Source organism: Homo sapiens, chromosome 5, assembly GCF_000001405.40.
Source record: "Homo sapiens chromosome 5, GRCh38.p14 Primary Assembly".
Taxonomy (NCBI): Eukaryota; Metazoa; Chordata; class Mammalia; order Primates; family Hominidae; genus Homo; species Homo sapiens.
In genome coordinates this window covers 107,118,248-107,128,327 of record NC_000005.10, presented here as the reverse complement: position 1 = coordinate 107,128,327, position 10,080 = coordinate 107,118,248, and the positions used below count along the sequence as shown (strand labels likewise).

At 35.4% G+C, this 10,080-nt stretch overlaps 1 annotated feature.

Moving 5' to 3' along the window:
* Nucleotides 9,359–9,860: an enhancer, noted in NCBI's record as "NANOG hESC enhancer chr5:106454169-106454670 (GRCh37/hg19 assembly coordinates)". NCBI's record gives its function as "activates a minimal SCP1, AML or CMV promoter by ChIP-STARR-seq in naive H9 embryonic stem cells {active_cell/tissue: H9 hESC(naive)}" and the evidence as "EXISTENCE:reporter gene assay evidence [ECO:0000049][PMID:30033119]".

The following is a 10,080-nucleotide window of genomic DNA, read 5'->3' as shown; positions in this document are numbered from 1 at the left end:
TCCAGGTTAATTCTCTTATGTTCCTCTTCAGCTATGTCTTCTTTTCATTTACCATTGTGTAATAAAACATTTGGTCACTGTCACCAGTGAGCATTAATTGCCAGGAAATACATATTTAAATAGCTCATATTTTAGAGCACTTTAGTGATCACAGGATTTTAAACAGTATCTACGTTAGATTAAGATGTCAGAAGTATCAAAACTTGTGAAGTGTGAGGTGAAATAGTCCATATGCTAGCCAAGAATCATCTCAATAGAAAGCTATTACATAATCATCACTGTTTTCCTCACACTTGACAGTTCTTAATTGTCAATTAAGAAGCCTAGTTCCTAGGCTCAGATGCTGGTCCAAATCTCAGAGAAAGCTTCATTTGTTTGACCCTTGTAAACTAGTGCTAACTTTGATTTTATTTGAGTTTGTGACTAATCCAGTTGATTCAACTAGGTCATCTAGACTATGTTATTATTATTATTATTAAGAGACAATCAGTTCCTATGAAAGCAGAGTTAGGTTTCCTTGAGATATTGATTTTTTTTTTTAAAGAAAAAAGCTCAGAGAACCTTTGACCTACATTAAATCTTTTTTATTTGCTAACATAAACAGGAACTGATCATAAGTGCAAAGGATTAACAGACACAGGAGACTAGATTATACATTTTAAACTTTACTTTGGAGACCTGAGGGAATGCTTTAGTGTGGAATTGGATTAACCTTTTTGGCACTTTCTTTAAAATACTTTAAAGTTATATGGCTTTGTTTCCTGATTCTGTGGGTACTCATGTAATGGTATAGGTTTTGAGGTTATGAATGAAATACGTTTAAGTTTTACTAAGCATATAAAATAAAAAAAAATTTCATCATTTGGCAGTCTCTAGTTCCCTTCGTGCAGCTTTTTTTCAATAAAGAAAACAATACAACTTCAATAGCATTGGTTGGGGGCTCTGTATATAGCTGAGCATTTCTTGAGACATGATGTTTGCCAAGAATGTTTCTTAGTGGATCAGTATGGTTCTTTTTAATGAATTCTATTTAAAATATTTTCTAAATCATTTCATCAATTGCAAATAGTTTTAGTGTACTATATTTATGAAGATTGGATAAAAAGATAACTTATTCAATATTGCTCAAGTATATTTTTCTTTGCCTCACCTAGTATTTACCTTATCTTTTAACATGAAAAAGACATTGACATGAAAAGAGAATAATCCTTGCATTAGTATTGATCTTCATTTATTCACTTATTGGATAGATGTAAGAAAATATTATGACCAGTTATGAGAATTTTGAAGCATAAAATTATCTAACTTCTGATACAAACAAAGGGTCCTCCTTTGAATTATCTTTCTCAAAAATTATATAGAACTACTTTTTTCTTTTTATTCTTTCTTGTCCTACTTTACCTCATCCCTTTATTTCTCCTTTAATGTTAGATATTTTATATAAATTATTATCAGTAAAAGTACCATTTAAAATTCTTAGTACCTGGTTACAGATTTTTCCGTTTAGTTTAGACATATGCCATTTCGAAGTTTCAACACCACTTAAATATTCAAGTAAAATTTTCCTCAAGTGAAAGATGTCTTCTAGGCATAGTAAACTATTTTTACAATATTTTTCATCTCGATATTGACTTCTCAGTTACTTTTTTGCCATTAAAATTACTCTTTTGTGAGGTGCTTTTTCCCAAAAATTTTCACATTGGCTTCAAATCTGTGATGACATCATGGAATGTTTAGCCAGATTCTACTCAGTCTTTTGTTCCTGTGTCTGACGCACCGCTAGGTGTTGAACAACAGTGAGTCAAAAAGTATTTGAACATCTTCTGTTTGCCCAGCCCTAAGCACTATGAAGAACCCAGAAAAGACATTGACACATGGTTCCTAAATTTAATCCAAAAATAGTACCATTAGGCTACTGAAAGTATTAATCCCTCTTTCTTTGGACTAATTTGCTGATAGTCTTTAATTTAGGTCCTGGGAAGACCAATAGAACCCTTTCAGTGAGGTTTGTAATGAAGTTTTATGTGCTCAGAGACCATATATCTGTGAAACTGACCAAAGTCACAAGATCCAATCACTTCTTCAGTTTTCTTGACATTGTCCTCAAGTAATATGGGGCAAAATTTGGCCTCTCCTTTGATACAGTGTGATTCTACTACAAATACTTAGTTCCATAATTGCTGTTCTCTTTAATTAGGTGCAGTGTTCACATTTAAACTTTGAGTACATTGTTTCTCCAGATGTTTTTTGTTATTTTCAGGTATCCCTTCAATTGCTTCTTTTCTTCTTTGTAGCATACCAGTGAAGACTTAATTGCTTCTTTTCTTCTTTATAACATACTAGTCAAAACTTAATAATTTGTATAGCATCTTCTTTATGTGTCTAATAAACTTTTTTGTAGTTTAGTTTCAGAAAGAAATGATCCTGTCTTGTTCATTGAGGTTAGAGACATTGTGAAGTGGATAGATAGAAATCGGCAAATTACACACTGTCTTTCAGATTATTTCCCAGTATTTTTCTCTTCTTCTCAGTTTTTGTTTTAAAAAAAGTATGACCCTTGAATCTTACTATAATATTGGCATTTTTCATTTTTATTACTCTTCCATTTTAGAGGAAATATGGAGCATTATAGTGTATTATGTAGAAATGAAATTCTTGCCTTGGCCCCAACAATGCTGTGAAATATACAGTCTAACATTTGAAGTAATCTGTTTTTCCATCTTTCAAAAGCAAATGACAACATGTATATGACCCCAACAAAAAAGGACCCAAAGTAATTTTTAAAAGTTAGTCTGTAAATAAGGACTTCATTTCCATTTGTGTCTAATTTTGACACCTACATCCTTGCTATGCTGTCTGATTTCAAAATGATATTTTAAAAATATTCTGGGGTCATATTTGAAATACCAATATGGATTGAAACATACCATTATGTTTGCAAGTGAGCTCATGTATCAGACTATTTACAGATGTTCTCCTAATAGAGTACTCACAATTCTAAGTACAGTTTAGAAATTCCCAGGAGTATAATTTAGGTGCTATTTGACAATTTACCAAGCAGAGAGCAACACTTGCCTAAACAAACATTGCCCCTACCACATGCTTCAATGTTAAGAACTAAGGAACTAAAAAGTTATCTTAAAAAAGCATTTTATAGATAGATACATATTTAACAAATTACCTTTTTCATTTTCATATGAATAACTATCAAATGAGAAAAATTCAGGAATTACTTGTGTGTATTAAATAAATATTATGTATTTTTAACCTTACATGTACAATAACTATATTATTTATGTATCTATATACACATTAAAAATTGTTTCTATTCAGCACAGTGGGACAACATCTCTTTCCACATAATTTTGCTGTATACAGGAAACCAATAAAGTACTGTAACTTCAGTATGTGATTACTGACTTAAAGAAAGAGAGAATGAGAAACAGAGAGAAAGAAACAAAGAAAAAGGAAGTGTATGCCTAATTAATCATTTTAATCCAGACATGATAAATGGTATTTGTTTTTTCCATAGTGTTGAGAAAAATACTATTGTATTTCTGTTTAGTGATATCTAGCCTGTTTTTGGACATTAGCTGGGTTAACAAATTTCCTTTTAGTAAGTGCTTAAAGAACGATGGCTGTGTTTAGTCAGGGGAAAGGTAGAAATGCCCCTAGTATGACATATTTCTATATTAGGTTATTCTTCAAAAATTTGCAGCTGTTCTTACTTTTCCATAGAACAGTGGAGATACTCCTCTGGTTACTTCCCACAGGAAATTATTCCCTGCAGACACTGCACTTGAGATGAAAATATGTGAAACTCCTCAGCTAAAGTTCATGTAACTTCTTTCAAGTAAGATATGAGATGTGTGAATCAAGGAAATCAGTTAAAACTCAATATTAAAATCTATATTTAAAAATGTAAATAGTGTGATCAATTGATTATTAGCAAAATATAATGGTCTTGGCTAAAAACAGAAGGAGAAAAATAATATATATGAGTCATAAATTTATGATTTTCCCATAAAAGCTCGGCCAAATTTTAAGGCATTTGCGCATTTAAAACCTGTGCTTTCTGGCATGGTTAGGTTAGTTTTCTGAAATGCAAATTATAAGAAAGGAATCTTATGCTTAAAAGGAGCTAACCTTAAAACTTTGCAAATTTTAGAATGACATGTTCAAAATGTCATATGATTGATGGATTTTTTTGTATTATAAGATAATAGCTGTATCCCTTTTGTGATTAAAAATAGTCATCAGCATTAGTGTGGTATTTGGTGACTTTGTCATTGAGTAGAAGCTGAATGAGGAGCTGATAGGTTGGATGAAAGGCTCACAGGGGCCTTGGTGACCCATATGCTATGAGAAGTGACCTGACACTCAGGAAAAGCAATTAAGTTTGCTATCACCTCCTTGTTCCTATTTGAAGTAAATGTAGCTATCTTTTCAGAATATAGCATGAAGACATTTCGGTCAACAATGTACCGCACATATTACGGTGGTCCCATAAGTTTACAATTATCATGTCTTTACCTTTTCTATGTTTACGTATGTTTAGATACACAAATAGCTACCATTGTGTTATCTTACGATATTCAGTCCAGTACCATGTTATACAGGTTTGTAGCCTAGGTCCAACAGGCTATATACCATATAGTCTAGATGTGTAGTAGACTATGCCCTCTAGGTTTGTATAAGTACACTCTACGATTGTACAATGACAAAATTATCTTTGATGCATTTCTTAGAACGTATACCTGTCATTAATTGATGCCTGACTATACTGAGGTTGCTCGTTTAGCTATGAATTTCTTCGGCCCTAGCAGAGGTTTCTTAGCGACAGTAAGGGTGTATACCAGACTGGCACAGGAGAAGAAATGTAGTGAATACTAATTTGAATACCGATAGAATGAAAATAGTTGTTGGAAACACTGGTTTCTATAGAATTGTTTAGCAAATTAGTATCAGTTAAAGAACGGAAAAGCAAAAAAGGGCATATGCCTTTAACTGCCCAGTTATTTTGCTGAGAAACTGAAAGAATCCTCAGGTGAATATATCTGTTGTAAGTCACTCTGTTAAATCAGCTGCTTTCACCAACTGTGACACTATTCAGGAGTTTAGAAGAAAAGGCCTTGCTTTGCCTCAGGCCATGCTTCTATTCTTTTTGCTTAATGTGGACAGGAGAGGAGAGATCGAAATCTCAGGTGAAAACTCCAGGAGAAAATGCCCTTGTGCATTACAACTTATTTTTCTGGTCTCAGAGAATTTAAAATAGATTAGTTTTGGTGTCCTTCTGATTTGGGCTTGGTTGGCCAACTCCCTGGGAGCGAGGGGTTGCATTAGCTTTTGCACTGAAGCATTTGTGCTGTGATACACAGTTTTCTCTATGAACAATTTGCTAAGCTGTTTAAAAATCACAAAAGAAGAAAGGGACGTAAAATGTACCATTAAGTCATTCTAGGAGATTTACAAAGGCTTTTAATGAGTTAGAGATGGATGAAAAAGCCCTTTTTGATTCATTAAAGGTATTCATCTGATTAGAAGAGATTTTCATCACCTTATCAACTAATCCAATAAATTGACTATCCATTTCAAAATGACTCCAATCGGATTCATGTCCATCAGAAGGATTTTCTGAGAACCCCAGAGTATTGTATAAAGTTGAAAATTATTATCAAATTGCCACTGGAAAAAAATTTAGTAGATCCTGATAAATCTAGAGGATTAGGGGAAAAAAATGCCCTGAGCTAAAAGGTTACCACAAATCAAAGTTCAGCCTGCATAGTCCTCTTCAAGATTATTATTTATCAGTGAAAAAAAATCCCTAAGAGAAAATCCATTTCTTGGTAGCTGAAGTGCAACTATTTCATGAGCAGGAGATTGTTTGGTATGTTTTTTGCTAACCCCATCTAGATCTTGAAAAAAAACTAATGTGGCTTTGTATATCTGGAAAATATTTTAAAATGCCATACCAATGAGATAGTTAATGCATGGGACCAGCTAATCAAATTTCCAGTTTTTGGCTGGTGTATGCCCCAGTCTAACAAAGTAAGATTAATGGGGTGTTAAAAGTCTGTATGGGCTTGTCAGTTTTATGCTGCAAATAGGGTTAATTTCATCCAAATGTAGAAATTTTAAAAATTAATGTTAATGAACTAAAGCTTTATATTTGTCTTTGCTTTTAGGAAACCTGTTTGCAGGATCAGTTCTATCCGTATTTGCCTGGCTAATGGAGAAAGCTGAATGAGGAAAGAAATGCCTTTCAGGGAATAGAGCATTATGAGGTCAGCTACAATGGAGAAATGCCAGACGTTGAAATTTAGAAGCAGATAATTTTACCTATTGGACTAGCCAAAAGCATTTACTCTGGGCTAGTGTCTGATACTACACAGGAAGACAGGCCCCTTTATCTTCTCTCCAAATCACTTTTTACATAGTCTCCACAGGAAAACTTGAGGTGAAGATATTTCACCCTTTGTGGAATATTTTGGGTAATGAGAAGGCGTCTTCATAAACTATCTCCAGCATTTTAACAACCTGGCCATCATCCATATATTTGTCTACATAATGCCAAACACTTGGATCCTTGGAAACATCCAGATGTCTCTTTGCATTTTTAACTTGCCATTCAAATGGTATAGACCTAGGCTATGTCTATGTGTAGTTTGAATTGGGTGGTAGTTGAATAGGCAAGGGGCAAACAGAATTTTAATAACACCTTTTTTTTTTTTAATGTTCCATACATTGTGTTTCCCCTGAGATAGCTTCAGTTTAAATCATGGAAATGTATACTTTTAGGATCCCTAAAAGAAGTAAAATTCTTTCACTGAAACAGAAATATAGATACCATTAAAAAATGGACATTCATTCAAGATGATGTAGGGGACGGGTATGAGATGCTTAGGCAAAGATCTATGGAGCCTCAGCTGTTTGACACTTAGTTTTGGCACCCTGAGGAAAAAGGGTAAAGGGCTGGCTTTATAAGAGCACAGTTTATATTGGTGTGATTTAAAGAGTACCAAGAATTATATCTTTCATCAACTGTCTCTCACATCTATATAACTTCCTTCTCTTCATTCTGCCTTATTTTCTATCCTGTATCCTTAGAGAATAATAAATTTGTATTAATAAATCTCAATGTCATTCCTTTTTTTTTTTTTTTTTTTTTTTGAAACAGGGTCTTGCCCTGTTACTAGGCTGGAGTGCAGTGGCATGATCACAGCTCAAGGTAGTCTCAAGCTCCCAGGCTCAAATGATCCTTCCACCTCAGTCTGCCTACAGGCACACACCACCATGCCTGGCCAATTTTTTATTTTTTTATTTTTTTGTAGAGATGGGGTTTTGTTATGTTTTCCAGGCTGGTCTTGAACTCCTAGCCTCAAGCAATCCTTCCACCTTGGCCTCCCAAAGTGCTGGGATTACAGGTGTGAACCACCATGCCCGGCCAATAAATGTCATTTTTTAATCTATAATCCTCTTTCCCTCAGTAGGATGGTTTTGAATTAAACATTTATTAGAAATGCATTGATAAAACTGCATGTCCTTCTCTCTTAGACTTGTAGACTGGGGTAAGGCAGAAGAAAATTGAGAGAGATGGGACTAAAGCACCTAGTAAGACAGGCCAGTTCTGAGTGGGCGACTATCAAAGGGGGTTAGGGGAGACTAGTGTGAGCGAGCTGCAAAAGAGACTGGTGCAAACACAATGAAGACGGCTGTGCTTACTTAGCCATTCACTTTTGCCCTGTCCTTGTAGCAGTCTCCTCTCTGGGAGAGTCTGTAGGCCAGGAAACTTGTCTTACAGCATCGTGTGCATCATTGCATGCCCCAGCACTGTGCACAGGACCTAGCACATAGTAGATGCTCATCAAATGTTTTTCAAGTGAATCAATAAATGAAGAAAAGAACTGTCTGGTCTGAAAGCTCTTGGGTTAAATTTCAAAGACTCTAGGCTCAGAGAAATTTCAGAAAGTCATATAGTTTAACTTGTCTTCTGCAAACACTTAAACCACACCATGAAATAGCTTTCAATAATTTTCTTTTGAGAAATTCCCACATCCTTTCCTAAAAGCATATTTCAGCATCATTTACAAAATCTATCTTGAAACCTTCCCTCTATGATTCAAGATCATTTTTCTTCTTAATAGAAGTAAACTTTTGCATACTAATACATCTTTTAACTTATCCAAAAGCTTTTGCATACATCTTCCCCTTCTCTCCAGAATAAACTTCTAAGGATATAGGGCAGGGTTTGCTGTCTTTATTTTAGCTTAAATGTATTCAAAATTTCTTCATCTTAGTTTCTCATTTTAAAAATGGGAATGGTTTGAAGAAGCTTCTGGCAAGGTTCAGGCAGATCACAGTTTTTCAACTCTTCTCTCTTAAAATTAAGGAAAACTCAATATAAGGTACTCAAGGTCTGGGAGTTTTCTCAGGAGCCAACAATGAAGGCAGATCTAAGACCAGCATTCCATTCATTTCAATCCGATAACAATGTTTTACATACTCCGCCACCTATTCATGTAGGCTCACAAGTGACTCCTATGTCTTTTAAATATGACATGGGTTTTCTGTATTGAGATAGATTTTCTTTCATCACCTTGATTCTTACTTTTAAAACTTTTTTATAGTTTTCCAAACTCACTGGGTTGTGGGATAAACCTTGTGGCTAACCCCATTTTGACAATAAAACTAGGAATGTTTGATGGCTTTGATAGATCATTCTCAGTGTTTACATAACTGTTACCTTTTTGAAAATAATGAGTTTTGGGGAAATTGTGAAGTGAATGTGGGTAAAGCAATTCTAGTTTTGCTTATTGTCTTATTTCCTGTGTTGCCATGGGAAAATACTACCTGAAAGGTTAATTTGAAAACATTGGTTTGGAAATAGTAATACTATTTGCACTTTAGAAGATTCAAACAAAGATAATTCTTTCAGTTGGAGGAAAATATCGTTTGATACATAAAACAGATGTATTCTATGCACATTAATTAAGTTTATATTATTATTATTATTATTCTTTTGAGATAGGGTCTTGCTTTGTCACCCAGGCTGGAGTGCAGTGGCACCATCACGACTCACTGCAGCCTCAGCCTCTGGGCTTAAACAATCCGCCCACCTCAGCCTCCTGAATAGCTGGGACTATAGGCATGTGCCACCGGGTAAAATTTTTTTTGGTATTTTTTGTAGTGACAGGGGTCTCGCTATACTTATCAGGCTGATCTCAAACTCCTGGGCTCAAGCAATCCTCCTGCCTCGGCCTCGCAAAGTGTTGGCAGTATAGGCGGAGGCACCACACCTGGCCAATTTATATGACTGAGAAAATTAAAGTATCAAGAAGGGACAACTAATCCAGTGATGGATTTGCTGATAGGGCTAGGGTCTGCAGGTCTGCCTGAGATCTTGGTCAAAAAATTCAGTTTAGGGAGTAAACAGTCACAGCCAGTTGGGGAAGCCAGTTAATAATATACAGACAGCAAAAGCTGTCAGCTCAAACTGCCAACTTTTTCCAGCTCCAACTGTTTGAGCAGGCTAGACGAAGTGGGCCAGTTTGTTCTCATTTGCTAGTATAGGAGTCCCACCTTGGGCTTAAGTCCCCCTTTTCTTTTCTCTGTGAGTTAGCTTTAACAGAGGATGCCTTACACAGCATGGGGCATTTCCAGCTGAGGTCCATTCTTTAGTCCTTGGCCTCAGCCTTCACAAGATTTGCGGCTTTAGAAAGAATAAAAGTCCCAGTTCATTATTCTCCTAATTTGTCCCAACAACTGTTGAGGCACTTTTCAAACATGTTCAAAATCGTGACAAGCCCAAAAGCCTGTGCTAATTTTCCTTGCTTTTTGATGAGAACATTGAAATTCAGAGATGTGAAATAATGTTTTCCCAGATACAAAGTTGGCAAGTAGCAGAGTCGGGGTTTGTATCCCGATCCTTCTAGCTCCACTGGGTCACATGGTCTTGGGAATGGCAAGATCGTTCCACTTGTTCTGATGTGGGAGTGGTAGCATCAAGGGTTCAAGGTAAGAAGGAGCAGTTTCCCCAGGCTGTGTCTGATCATCTGAGATGGAAGCTGCCTCTTTCTGCTT